At 38.3% G+C, this 13,694-nt stretch overlaps 1 protein-coding gene across 20 annotated transcripts in view, besides 4 other annotated features; it reads right to left on the minus strand.

Moving 5' to 3' along the window:
• RNF6 (ring finger protein 6) overlaps positions 1-10,774 on the minus strand; it is a 90,971-nt gene extending 80,197 nt beyond the window's left edge. The window contains exons 1-6 of one of the 20 annotated variants that reach the window (XM_024449392.2): positions 10,704-10,774; positions 8,937-9,019; positions 7,146-7,356; positions 6,200-6,295; positions 3,163-3,281; positions 464-2,458 (exon numbers count right to left, since the gene is read on the minus strand). In XM_024449392.2, the coding sequence (XP_024305160.1) occupies positions 2,336-2,458; positions 3,163-3,281; positions 6,200-6,295; positions 7,146-7,338 (531 nt within the window). In that variant the 5' untranslated portion in view covers positions 7,339-7,356; positions 8,937-9,019; positions 10,704-10,774 and the 3' untranslated portion in view covers positions 464-2,335. Of the gene's footprint in view, positions 1-463; positions 3,282-6,199; positions 6,296-7,145; positions 7,357-8,936; positions 9,020-9,202; positions 10,061-10,703 lie in introns of those variants that run through there. The other 19 variants (XM_017020686.2, XM_047430495.1, XM_047430496.1 and 16 more) reach the window with 19 other exon arrangements.
• Positions 8,775-9,656: an enhancer, noted in NCBI's record as "H3K27ac hESC enhancer chr13:26795223-26796104 (GRCh37/hg19 assembly coordinates)". NCBI's record gives its function as "activates a minimal SCP1, AML or CMV promoter by ChIP-STARR-seq in naive H9 embryonic stem cells {active_cell/tissue: H9 hESC(naive)}" and the evidence as "EXISTENCE:reporter gene assay evidence [ECO:0000049][PMID:30033119]".
• Positions 9,184-9,233: a silencer, noted in NCBI's record as "silent region_5185". NCBI's record gives its function as "represses an Ori minimal core promoter by ATAC-STARR-seq in GM12878 lymphoblastoid cells {active_cell/tissue: GM12878}" and the evidence as "EXISTENCE:reporter gene assay evidence [ECO:0000049][PMID:35858748]".
• Positions 9,657-10,538: an enhancer, noted in NCBI's record as "H3K27ac hESC enhancer chr13:26796105-26796986 (GRCh37/hg19 assembly coordinates)". NCBI's record gives its function as "activates a minimal SCP1, AML or CMV promoter by ChIP-STARR-seq in naive and primed H9 embryonic stem cells {active_cell/tissue: H9 hESC(naive and primed)}" and the evidence as "EXISTENCE:reporter gene assay evidence [ECO:0000049][PMID:30033119]".
• Positions 9,684-10,063: an enhancer, noted in NCBI's record as "active region_7492". NCBI's record gives its function as "activates an Ori minimal core promoter by ATAC-STARR-seq in GM12878 lymphoblastoid cells {active_cell/tissue: GM12878}" and the evidence as "EXISTENCE:reporter gene assay evidence [ECO:0000049][PMID:35858748]".

A 13,694-nucleotide genomic window follows, 5' to 3' on the forward strand; every position in this document is an offset into this window, starting at 1 on the left:
TCAAACTGACCTACATAAATAATTTACTCCAAACAAAGTCACAACTTTTATGAAAACCTTTTACTCCATGTAAATGCACTCCTTAACATTCCTGGGCATGCATCTAACCTAATGAATTGAACATAGTCACCAGTCAGAAAGGAAAATTAAATGTGGAGATATTTCTAAATCTCACAGAATCTGGCCTAAGTACTGTTCTTGTGATTTTGCCCAAACAGTATCACCACAAGAAAATCCTGTCATATATTAATAAGCAAATATGAAAGTAAGAATAATAATTCACTTTATCAATTGATATTCAGTTTCTAAGAGCAAATATGTCTTTTCCATGAAGCCAGGGACTTTTGTCTGTCGTCTGGGAAATACTCTATCCCATAACACTGCCTGGCATCTAGTATGAAATATTAGTGGAGGGTGAATAAACCACAGTGGAACAACAGAAAAACATAGTTCACATACAGTCTTTGTTTTAATGTTTATTGGTAGAAACAGATCTTCAATGCATACTTTGTGTTTATATAAACTCTACATTCTCTTAAAGGTTTTCGTTTTGTTTTCACTGGAGATTTTTAGCCTCCAAGTGAACTTAACATATTGCCTATGCATCTGATTCTTTATAGACTTTTAGATTTTAAAACTAAATTTGAGAAACCATGCATACTGTATACCTTATTTAATAATCCAAAGAATTGTTTGCACTTTCAAAAAAGTTACAAAAAGGCTGAACACAAGTTAAATAACCTATATGATGTAAATTTTCCATTTCTGAATACTTTTTCAGTATTATATATTGCTTGCTGTCTAATAAGTTAGATTGTCAGAGACGCTTCAGTAAATTATCTCTACTTTAAAATTATATCTGAATCCCCTTTCTCTGAGATGAACTTGCCAATATTAAACATTGTGCCATATGCAGTATTAGCCCAAAAGCTTAAATAAGAACCAAACTTGTAGACTGAATATTTTAACCTTAAAATTATATACCTATATATACACCTATGGTATGCTGCATATTAAATTTAACATTTCAAGTAACATATATATAGCAAACATTCAGCCAAATACTCTTTCATGAAAAGATACTGTCCTTAAAATAAAAAGTTAATGAAAAGCTTATTTAGACACAAATGTCTAGATATAAGTACTAAGCCTATGAAACTTGAAGCTAAAGTCTGCTGTACTATTAAGAAAAAGAAGATTGATTCTTAACCTACTGAATTGTGCAGATACAAAAGTGCTTAGCATGACAAAATTACCAAAATAAAAACATTTTAGAGGTTATTTGGTTCTAGCAATATTAACTATTCTGTATTTCTGGATAATTTAACATTTGTATTTTAAATTTTATATAAATTTCTTTTTAACAAGTTTAAAAAAGCACACGAAAAATAGTTCAAACTATATATAATCTGTTATTTTTCATCCTGGTTAGCTAATCACAAATAACTCAGCAAAACAATGCTTGAACATTCAGTTCTACTAAAAAACAGTATTTGAGTAGATCCCATCACCTTACCCATTGTTTGCTATGTTAGACCCTAAAACAGGCTGCCGACAGATCGGACAAGTGCAATTCTCTGAGAGCCATCGGTCAATACAATGAATGTGAAATTCATGCATGCAAGGTAATTGCCTGAGCTTGTTTCCAGTTACATAGTCACTAATACAAACACTACAGATTTTACCTAGTTCACTATCAATACTGTTATGCTCATAGTGCCTGGTGGAAAGATTGTCAATCTGCTCTTTGGTTAAACCACGTATTCGATCATCATCATCACTTTCATTTAGTAAAAAAAAGTGAGCAAGGCGAAGAATGGGTAGTGTTCCAGTTTCAACTAAATTGTTTGGATTTCGCAACTGCCTGCCACCCCTACTGTCACTGTTTCGAGTATGAGGCTGGGTGGTCTCGTTTTCACCATGCATTTCAGTGCTGTCTCCTTGGGCCTGCCTGTCTTGAGAGGAACCTTCCCTGTGCTGGCTCCTGTTGTTATCTGTACCTAAGTTACTCAGTTCTGAGTGCATGTCTGGTAAATGCTGGCCATTTCTTTGAAGTTCTGACTCAGAATCGGCCTCCATTAGAGAACTCAGTTCTCCAAACCCAGTCATGATCTGCCTTAAAATTGACCGAAGAGCCACTGATGATGGCTCAACAAGCTCATTCTCAGAAATCCTACGAAGAGGAACTGTTATGGTACTAACATAGGTTCGAATACCTGACCGCTCTAAACGAGAAATGGTTCGGCGAAAGCCCCCACTATTGCTTTCAATAGTGACTGTATTTTCTGCTAGCCCTACTCTGGATCGAGTTCTATTTGCAATACTATCCCGATCTCTATTTTCTCCAGGACGGATCCTTCTCACTTGAAGGTCCAGTGTGATTGTTGGATGTCGTCGTACAGCAGTTGAGGATCTGCTGGATTCTTCTCCTTCTTCTACTGTTATTCTTGACACAAGCCTTGAATTAGAGAATGGGGTATATGCAGTACCTCTGCGTTCTCGTTCTCTATCTTGCTCTAAAAAGACTCGAGTTCTACCTCTCCTCCTAACAGATCTTCTAGTGGTTTGCTGTACTGGTCTACTTTCCCTTTGGGAATTATGATAAACAGTGCCACTCTGTCTCTGAATTGGTGAACGGCTTCGACTATTGGAAGTAGATCGTAATCTTATTGGCTCTAATCTTTGGTTTGTATTCCTCACTGTAACATTACTTCTAGCCCCATTTTCCCAAACATGTGCTGCTCCAAACCGTTGCCCCTCCCTTTGCCTGAGTTCACTACCACCTGATTGGTTTGTGTGACTACTGAAATTAGTGCGTGAAGCGTTAGCTCGAGGAATGCCAGCTGCTCCCCCAATTCCATTTCTTAACCTTCCCAATGTTGAGAAAGATCCTTCAGCTGGATTTTGCCCCCTTGAAGCAAGCCTAGTCCTTGGAATGTTGGAACTACTACCATTGAAATTCACTGAGGTTTGGCTTCTTGTTCGCCTAGCCACAGGACTAGTTGACCTTTGTTGCCTATTTGCAGTATGATCTCTGTTACTATCTGAAAGTGGAATGTCTGTATAATCTTCTCCATGAATTTCAAATCCTCTATTTTCATGATTTACGTGGATTTCCAAACTAAACCGAAACTCTCCATTGTTCGGGTTTGTTCGACTCACAGCTCTCCAAGTTTGGTTCCCATTTTGTCCACTTCGAGTTGCATTTCCTGTGCGCCGAAAGGTGTTCAACCATTCTAGAAGAGAATCTTCATGTGAACTTTCTCTAGGGACTTCTGAGTCTAGAAAGCAAAGCAAATCAACTTAAGATCAATTCCTAAGACACACCTTACAGCTTTATTGAAAACTTGTAAGAAAAACAAAGTTTGTAATAAATTAAAGAACATCTGTGGATTTTAATGAATGAAAGATGGCAAAAAGACAACTTTCTAAAAGAAAAGTATATCTACTATAAGCATATTATAAAAATTAAATTACTATTTACATAGTTACAAAGCTTTAAATACTATTTATGCAACGCTATGGAGAAATCCTCATTCTTACTTTCTATCTGCCCATTACTAGCAAAATACTAAGGCAAATGAGAAACATGTCCACTACCAAAAGTTTACATTTAAATTGCTTTATCAATATAGTAATATCAATAAAATACAAAGACAAACTTTATGTAAAATTTGTCCTGTATTTGTGGAATCTTTCTGGAAAAGCCAACTCAGTCATTTTTGCAACTAGGTATTTCTGTAATCTTAGAAATTTTTCCTATTTCTCAGGTGCTGCCAAAAATGTACACATCAAGAAATGTGAGTTTCTGAATATAACATTAAAACCACATTACTGTATTTGTCTTTGTGTGAAGCTGAGAAACCAGGCAAGTTACTTAAGGTCTCTATGGCTGATCCTTGTCTATAAACTGGAGTTAATAATAGAATCAATCTCATAGGGTTATCCTGAGGATAAAATAAGACGCTATATATAACATAATTAGCATAATATCTGGCACATAAAAAGCCACCCCATAAATGTTAGCTGTTATACATAATAAAATACATTTTCTATTCATTTAGAACGTAAGCTCCAGGAAAACAAAGATTTTTGTAGTTTTAGTCACTGTTACATCTCCAGCCTCTACAGCAGTATCTAGTATAAATCAGACTTTCAATTAATATTGCTCAATTAATCAATTTAGAAATGTGTCACCCATAAACTTTTTTGACTAAGATACTGCCACTGTGCCAAGCTTAAATTTTCCATTTATAACCAGTAGATATTATATAAAGTACAAAACTTAATAAAAAGCATCAACACATTAACTACACAAACTTCAACTTTAAAGTTTGTTCTACTCAAAAATAGCTATTATAGGCCGGGCGCGGTGGCTCACACCTGTAATCCCAGCACTTTGGGAGGCCAAGGCAGGCAGATCATGAAGTCAGGAGTTCGAGACCAGCCTGACTGACATGGTAAAAACCTGTCTCTCCTAAAAATACAAAGAAATTAGCCAGGCATGGTGGCGTGCGCCTGTAATCCCAGCTACTCAGGAGGCTGAGGCAGGAGAATTGCTTGAACCCGGGAGGCAGAGGTTGCAGTGAGCCAAGATTGTGCCACTGTACTACAGCCTGGGTGACAGAACAGGACTCTGTCTCAAAAAATAAATAAACAAATAAATAAAATAGCTATTATATGACATCATTCTGATTTCATTTCATTCCTGCAATCTCTCTCGTAAGACTTTTTTAAATGCTGAAGTTGAAGCTATTAATCAGCTGTTGATGCCAATAAAATAAACAGCAACTGAGCCATATTCCAGAGATGATGAGCTATTTTATATTTGATGAGTACATTTTCCACTGAAACATATTCAAAAGATCAGTATTAATTATTGCATCTATATAGTACAACTTACATATCTAAACACAAATAATAAAATGTGTTAATGTCCACTTCCCATTTGTTTGGAAAAAGAATGAGTAAAAGGCAGGTGAACATGAATTATTTTAAATGCTACTTCCTTCTTTGATTAACATTTGATTAAGTGTAGTGATGATGGTGCATGTGAAAGAGTTTGCCAAGTACCTACTCAAAGCTACCCTACTCTTCTTCCATTGTAAAAGCATCGGAAATTGGCTCGTGGACAGCCTGGCAGTTAGGTGTGACCATGAGACTAAGTTCTCATGAATGGAATGGGAGAGTAAGCGATACATCCTACTCTCACGCTAGTGCGTGGACCTCCTTCCTACCAGCTAGAACCTAGATATGGTTGCGACTTACCTTGATCATACAAATGGTACCCTGGAGCAGTGATGCCCCATAAATCTTTCTGAAGTAATGAGTATGTTCTGTATTTGTGCTGTCCAATACAGAAGCCACTAGCCAAATGTGACTATTAAGCACCTGAATGTGGCTAGTATGAATGAGCTAAATTTTAAATTTAATTTGATTTTAATTAATTTCCATTTAAATAGTCACATGTGGCTAGCAGCTACTGTACTGAACAGCACAGTTGTAGAATCATTCTGTTAGCTGAGTGGGTTCCAAGAGGATTTCCTTCCCTGGACTGTTAACGTAAGTAAGAAACTTCTAGCTTATTGAGCCATTGCATTTTGGGGTTTTTACATAGACTTCATGGTAACTAATACAATGATTTTGATATAATATGTGAAACTACTAATAAATACCTCTGAGGAGGGAAGTAGAACTGGTTAAGAGGAACACAAAAGTGGCTTTTCCTTTTAACTCTACATACTTCATTTAGTTTGAAGTTCTTTTATAGTACTTTCCTTATAAGAACTTTTTATATGTAAACCATCAAACAGAACAAAGAAACAAAAACAGGTTTCCTAACTCAGTCTTTCTACACGGTTCTGTATATAAATTTTTAGAAGCTAAGTAATATCACTTTAGAAAAAGTAATGTGTACATTCCAAGATTAAAAAGAAGCATGCTGGGAATTAACTTAATTGTATATTATTACATAAAGCTCTCTGAAGGCAATCTGTGTGTTTAAGACATCTTTGCATTCATTCCTCTGTCCTATACTGCTTAACCATACTGCTTTACTACTCATATATATATTATCTGAATGAGTATCACATTAAAACTGGAAAAAATTGAAGACAAACATACTATACAAGGTCTAAGAATTTCATTTCTGCAAGTGCTCCAATCAAGCCTGTTCCTTATGGAAAGGACTCCATAGTACCTCTGTAATTCGTTCCATCTCTCAAGTCAGGCTGAGATGCTAGTTGTTCCTTGACGCCATCTAACCGCTGTTGCAGTTCTTCTGATGTTATTTCTCCTAAAACAATGAAAAACTGCTCATTTAAGAATTCTGAATTAAGTTTTATGAGACCTCATGAAGGGTAAGACTAATCTTTAGTAACCTATAGAAGACAAATGTCTTATTACTTTCATATGTTCTGTAAATTGAAGACAGTTAAAAATATTCAACTGGTACAAATGTGCATCAATTCGGTTGTGCTTCATTTATTAATCTTTTATTAAAAATTATTAAAATAAGATTTAATTTGAATAGTTGGTAAAGTGCTGCCAGTTGATACACTTAGGAATCTATAAGCTATAACTGTGGATTTTTGTCAGTTAAAAAGAAATTAAGGGAGCATTTATAGAGAAAACTTCAAATATTTACTTGAATTTTATCCCAAATACTTCATTATATGGGTCATCAATATACAAACACACAATATATAAACATACAAATTTCCATTAGTTCATTTGTAAAAACTTTATGGAACACATTGGGCTTTGGGGGGAGCTATTAATTCAGCTGAATAAATAAATTATAATACCCCAAATGAGTTCAAATTGGGTTTTAAGTCATATTTTATTTGTATAAAAATTACAAATAGGACCATATATGTAAATACTTAACACCATTATGTACATTAACCTGTTTCTTAGTTTGGCATTTGTATAATAGTGCTCCATGTCCCCTATTTTCACCTTATAAAATACAGAAGCCAGTGATTTTCTACTTTATTATACTAAAAAGTTCTTAAACTCACAAAAACAATATACTATATTTTCATAAAGAGAAGCAAGGAAAAAGAATACCAATTCTCCTTATCTTGAAATCCTTCCATCTAAATGATGAAAAAAGGGTGTTTCCTCTTTTACCCATCTCTTACCAGGGGTGCCTAAAAGATTATGGTCTCTCATAAGCCGATAATCTTCATCATTGAGTTCATTAATAAACTGATAATAGGCCTCTTCTCTGTGGAGACGCTCTTGCTGCCATCTTCTCTCATTTTCATGATGATTATGGTCTTGAGGTAAGGTTTCTTCACTGCCACCATCTGATCTCGATCTAGACTGATTCATCCTGAGATTCCTGGCTTTCTGTTCAAACAATATAAACAACATTCAAGGTGTTAAGTCATGGACCACATTTGGCTTTGTATTTTTAACTTGCAGTTTTTCTTAATTTTTAAATGTTGTCCCCTACCCAAATACTGTATTTGCCAAATCTTGCAGTGAGAAGCTTACATATAAAATGAAAAACAGCTTCTAGGAAATACAACACAATTGGCACTTACTTCTTTGCCTAAAGCCATTAAGTCAGACTGGATTTGGGTTTACCACACAATGCTCATGCCTGAATACCATAGTGATTATCTCATTTTTGACCATGTTGACGATCTGGAAAAGTTGATCCAGAAGTCCTCATTTATGTTTCAGGATCTGGGTACTTCACATTAATTACAAATTTTAGGCTTGAATTATGCACATTCTTCACTTAATGAGCAAAGGGATACTGGGATGATATAATTTACATTTGTTTTCAGCAAGGTATTCTTTCCAAAATAAGGCTCATGAATGTAATATTATCCCCCACTGCACTTTGATGAGGTGAAAATCATTTAGCCTAATTAATATCTACTGAACAAACTGGAAGGTGGTCTCTTATTAAAGCTTACCAGGAAGACTTTGAAACCCAACAGGAAACAAGACATCATGTATGGCTCAAGGATTGTGAAAGTGCATCAGAGCACTTTGTATCACCCCATATCAAGCCTCATCCTTAAGCCTGGAATGGTTAGTCCCAGGAGTTTCAGAATGCCAGTGAAACTTCCTGACTTTGCCTAAGAAACCACTATTTTTGGATTATATTTAAGTGTCACTCCTGAGAAGCTCACTTTTAAATTACATGGAAATCAAGAGAGAAAGATGTTTGTTTCACAAATATTTTAGAATTTCTTAAATACATCTATTCAGTAAGTCACACTAAAGCAATGGTTCTCAAACTCACTTAAGGGTATTTTTAAAAATCTAGATGCCCAAATCTCATCCCCAATCCTTGATTAGAGTTTTCCAGGGTAGGACCAGGTCTGCTGTTAAGAGCTAATTTGGGTGTTCTGCAGATGAAATAAACTATTCCTCGACAATTTCTGGCATGTCACTAAAGGGTATGAGTAATACAGCACCTGACTCAGTAGAGGCTGGAGGCTCAAATGGCTAGGCTACCAGTGAAGCAACTGTGCAACTCTGCCTCTCGAAATACACTAGGTATTTAATAAGCAAGCTGCTTTAAATATAAGGTGAAATTAGCCTACAAGTCTAAAATACTGTTGGAGTAAGCAACTATTCAATTTCACCTGTAACACTAAATTACAAATTCAAGGATTTTTTTCACTGTGGTTATTTTATTATGTCATTTTGAACAAATGACCTAGTAACATTATCCACTCAAATATGAATTAACACTACTAAAAACTCAAGATCTCTATCTTCAGATTAAGACCATAATTAGCAAAGAGCATATTTCGTAGGTACAGCAATAATAGGATTTTTGTAATAAATAATTTTACAAGTTGAAGCCTATCATAAAATCAAGTTACCCTAATATTATTTAAAACTTGAGCTTCTCCTTAAAGGTAATTTTCTTATACAGTTAATCACAATGAAAACAAAGCGAATACCTTATTTTCCTTTCAACACGCTTTTAACATATGCCATGGTATCCATCCTTCAATTGTTTGTGCCTTTTTTGAGAGCTGCCCATCTGAAGCAATAAAAGAGAGTTGAATAATTCAATAAACTGTTTCTTTAAAGGCCAGGAACGGGTGGTAGTCTCCCCACTCTGCTGCAAAGCCAAAGCAAATTCTCCAGTGGATTTTGTTAGACACATCTAGAAAATTAGATCCCCATACAATTAGGTCACGAAAACCTCCCGCAAGGCCCCTACCTTCCGCAACAAACTTAGGCCTTTCGTCCTACACTGTCACTGTTCCTGGGTTTACGCCTCCTCTCTCAAAGGCCTTCCTTCCTATCCCGTTCCCATTCGGATGTTACCAGGGTTAGGCGTCTCCGGCTTACTTCTAAACCTTGACTTTCTTGCCACCCCCGCCCTCCGTCCCGCTACTGGTTTCTTTCCCGGCCGTTGCGACGGAAGCTCGCGCCGGGGGACGATCCCCACTACGATAAATAAAGTGGGCTCAAGAGGCCCAACCAACCTCTTCCCAACCGAGCCTCAAGTAACGCTTCCCTTAGAGACCTAGATTCTCACAAGGAAGCAGGTGATAGACGGTGCATCCCAACCAATCACCAGCCAGCGGAGCGCAATAAGAAGGCAGTTAACCAATCGGAGAAGAGATGGGTGGCTCGAAGGATGGCCTGCTTTCCCCGGCGTCTCCAGGAAGTAGTGGTGGGACCCAGATCTTTCCCTCGAGCCCACCTCTCCAGGTCTTGGGCCTTCGCCCTCCTGTCCGGAGAACGTGTGCTGTGGGCGGCCGTTCTCTCGGGTGCTGGAGGCTGTGGTTGGGAGGCGGGATAGGCTTGCCGCCGCGCCTCCGGAGCCCGCTGTGCCCTCGAATTGGCCACTGAGGAGAGAAGCCGGAAGCCCGTGCTGCAGCGTGGGGTCGTCCAGCTGGAGGGGATACTCGGGAGGAAGAACGGCAGGCCCCAGCCCTTCTTTCCCGACAGCCACGCCGCCCACTTGGCGGCGGGGAGTCGCTCCGCAGCCGGCCCGGAGCTCGCCCGTGCAACTGAAAACTGCGTCCGTCGGGAGCTAGGGTGCCTGGCGTCCCGCGTTCCGCCCTCTTGCGCCGCCCTTACAGTGCCTCCTCCTCGAGGCCAAATGCCCGGCCGCTCAGCGCTCGTGGCAGCCGCGTAGTTGCAGAGACACGGTCTGCTTTCCAGGCTTGGGAAGTCCCAGCACTTAACTCTGCGCGTCGGTGTCGCTCGTTTGCCAGCCAGACTATAAAGTGCACCCAACGGTGTATGCGTCTCTTTACTTCCGGGTGTAACGTACTACCCAGCCAGGCCCTTTCCCTTGCTGTGCTTTGGAACCTGGAAATTACAAACCCTAATAAATTCTGAAGTCTGTCTGTCTGTCTATCTCTATTTGAGACAAGGTCTCATCCTGTCGCCCAGGCTAGAGCGATCGTAGCTCACTGCAGCCTCCAGCGATCCTCCCTCCTCATCCCAGTAGCTGGAACTACAGGCGCTTGCCATTAATTTCACATTTTTTCTTTTGTAGAGACGGGGGTCTCGCTATGTTGCCCAGGCTGGTTTCGTACTCGGCCTCAAGCAATCCTCTCACCTCAGCAAAATGGGATTACAGGCATGAGGCACCGCACCCCACTATATTTTGTGTTTTTTCACCTTCCCGCTAGGAAAGCAGTTTGAAACTCCCAACATTCCTCCCTCTGATTTTATTTCTGAGATGTGAGGCTTACTAAACTTACCTCACCGTTAGTTAAGATGCTGAGTAGGTCTCTGTCTAACCTGGTATAGTCCCCTTTCCTGACATCCCTACCATCTGATGACTTCATCACTGGAGAGTGCTCACAATGCCGTTACTTGTTATTCTTCCGTTTGTTCTTTCATTTCTGCATTAACTTTTGAGGAACTACCATATCCCCATTATTATGCTGGGCACCTGGATAACAAGCTACATGCAGTCCTTAGCATCAATGAGCTACCAGTGTAGTAAGGATCTATGGACAAGTGTTTAAAATAAGCATATGGATATGGATACTAAAATGGAAATATATAAAACAGCCTAGAAAGCCCTTCCAGATCTTTCTTCTGCTTACATTTACAGGCTGTTGTCTTGGCACTCCGAAACTGCTTGAAGTTCCGCCACAAGATATGGGAACTCCTAAGCAACCCCCAACTCCACTTTTACCTAATTTCCTCTGTCTCCCAAAACTCAGCTCAGTTCTCATCTTTAAGGAATTTTTCCTGATACCTCTGAAATAACACCCTTACCTCACCCTCCAGCCCGATATTTACACATAAAACTAAGCAAATGTCCCTTTTGGGGGCTCCCATACTCCCTCTATATATAAAACCCTATTTTAGCATGTATTCATGTATTTAACAAATAGTGAGTGTGACTATGTATTAGGTGCTGGTGATGACAGCCGTGAATCAGACAGTCATGTCCTCATAGAATGAAGTCCTTGCCCTCTTTTCCCATGGAAAAAGAGCCATTGAGCAAATACTTAAGATGATTTTCTGTTTTTAGGTCTTTACTACCTAGAGTCTGAACTGCTTAAGTGTGATCAAATGGTCTAATTCATTTTTGTAATCCCAGAACTTAGCACAGCACTTGGCAGAACATTCTCCTCAGCCTACTGCATAGATGAGCAGAGAAAAATGCAATCTTTTGGCAAACGGGATTAATGCACACAGTACAACGACTTCAGATATTGTGAACACACATCATAGAAAATAACAAGTAGAAATCATTTTTAATATCTGTGAATTTTGGAGAGTGCAATCAAATGCAATAATCCAAGTGCAAATACTTTTTACATGTTGAGTGGAAAAGACATATGTGTCTCTTCCTATTTTTCCTATTTCCTATTATATACCCTAAGAATAAAAAAAAAACTATTATAAAAATGTCTAAATAAAAATCCAATCAAGTGATTTACCAGGTAGGAAGTTGCAGGTTTTTGTGAGTAGAGAATCAGGTAATGTATGTAACTTGAATCCAACACCTTGCTTCAGTTTTTGTAGTCCAAGACAAAATGACTACAAAGAGGGGCTTAGATACAACAGCTGGAACAGACAGATGAATCATTCTGGATATCTACTCCAGGTCTCAGAACCTGCCAAGGTCTCTGGTCTAATTAATTTCTGTTTATTGGATTGGTACCTGGCCTTTGTAGTGTGTATGCCTCATGTAACTCCTGGACTTTTTACAATTAGGAATACAAAGATCTAAAATAATTAAAACCATAACATTAAAAGGATTCTCTGTATATCTGGTAAATTATGTACTTGTCATGTTTAAAAGATTTTGGCTTCATAAAACGACAGCCTTAATTACAATTTAAAACAAAATGGAGCACTCGATTTCAAGTTTTAAGTTGAAGTTGAAATCTTGCTAAGTTTATGGATGGCATCAGAGCAGCAAAGAGAAATATAGGCTCCCCATATTGTTTTATTATTAGTTTAAAAATTATTATATAAGATTTAAAGACGAAATTACATGTAACATTTGAAGTACTTGTGAATGAGATAAAATATTAAATGTATAAATACAGTTTAAAATGTTGGTTTGAAGATATTAAATATGTATATGAATGAGATTGAAAGTTAGTGAAGGGCTAATTCCAAATGACTGTTAAGATTTACTATACTTGACCAGGCACAGCTGCTCACACCTGTAATCCCAGCACTTTGGGAGGCCAAGGCGGGCAGATCATGAGGTCAAGAGATTGAGACCATCCTGGCCAACATGGTGAAACCCCATCTCTACTAAAATTACAAAAATTAGCTGGGTGTGGTGGCGCACACCTGTAGTCCCAGCTACTTGGGAGGCTGAGGCAGGAGAATCGCTTGAACTTGGGAGGCGGAGGTTGCAGTGAGCTGAGATTGTGCCACTGCACTCCAGCCTGGTAACAGAGCGAGACTCCATCTCAAAAAAAACAAAAACAGAAAGATTTACTATGCTTACCACTAGAATAATAAGAGCTGTAAACCAAACGTAAAAACCTAAGTTGTAACTAGGACATTGAATTTGGAACTAATAAGTTGAATATTAACTGTTTAAGACAAAGATTTTTTAAATAATATGTTCTTTATTTCCTTATAGCTCTTTTAACAGCCTTATTGAGATATAATTCACATACCATAAAATTTGCCCATTTAAGGTATACAATCCAGTGGTTTTTAGTATAATCAGACTTGCGCAGCATTCACCACAATCTAATTGTAAAACAGGTTCATCTCCCCAGAGGAAACCCTATACCTATTAACAATTACTCTCATTCCTACTCCACCCTATTCCCAGCCCCTGGCAATTACTAATGTACTTTCTGTCTCTGGATTTGCCTATTCTGAGCATTTCAAACAAATGGTATTCTACGTCATGTGGTCTTTTGTGTCTGGTTTCTTTCACTTAGCATAATGTTTTCAAGGGTCATCATGTTGTAGCATGTCTCAGTATTTCATTCCTCAAGAGAAACTTCGGAATAGTCCTTTTCTGCATATAAAAACAACCCTCAAGGATACTCCTGATAACCAGGGTCTTAATTAGGCCAGAGATGGTCTTGGATCAGGTTATCTAGAAACGAAGCCTGAGACAAGGATTGTTATTGAAGTGTTTTATTAGGACGGTGCACTCTGGAGAAGGGGATAGAGGAAGCAGGATTGGCCAGGAGGACAAGGAAACAAGAATGAGCCTCCACTGATCCCGTGAAATTCACCACCAAGTGGCCTTG

This window comes from Homo sapiens, chromosome 13 (genome assembly GCF_000001405.40).
Source record: "Homo sapiens chromosome 13, GRCh38.p14 Primary Assembly".
Classification (NCBI taxonomy): Eukaryota; Metazoa; Chordata; class Mammalia; order Primates; family Hominidae; genus Homo; species Homo sapiens.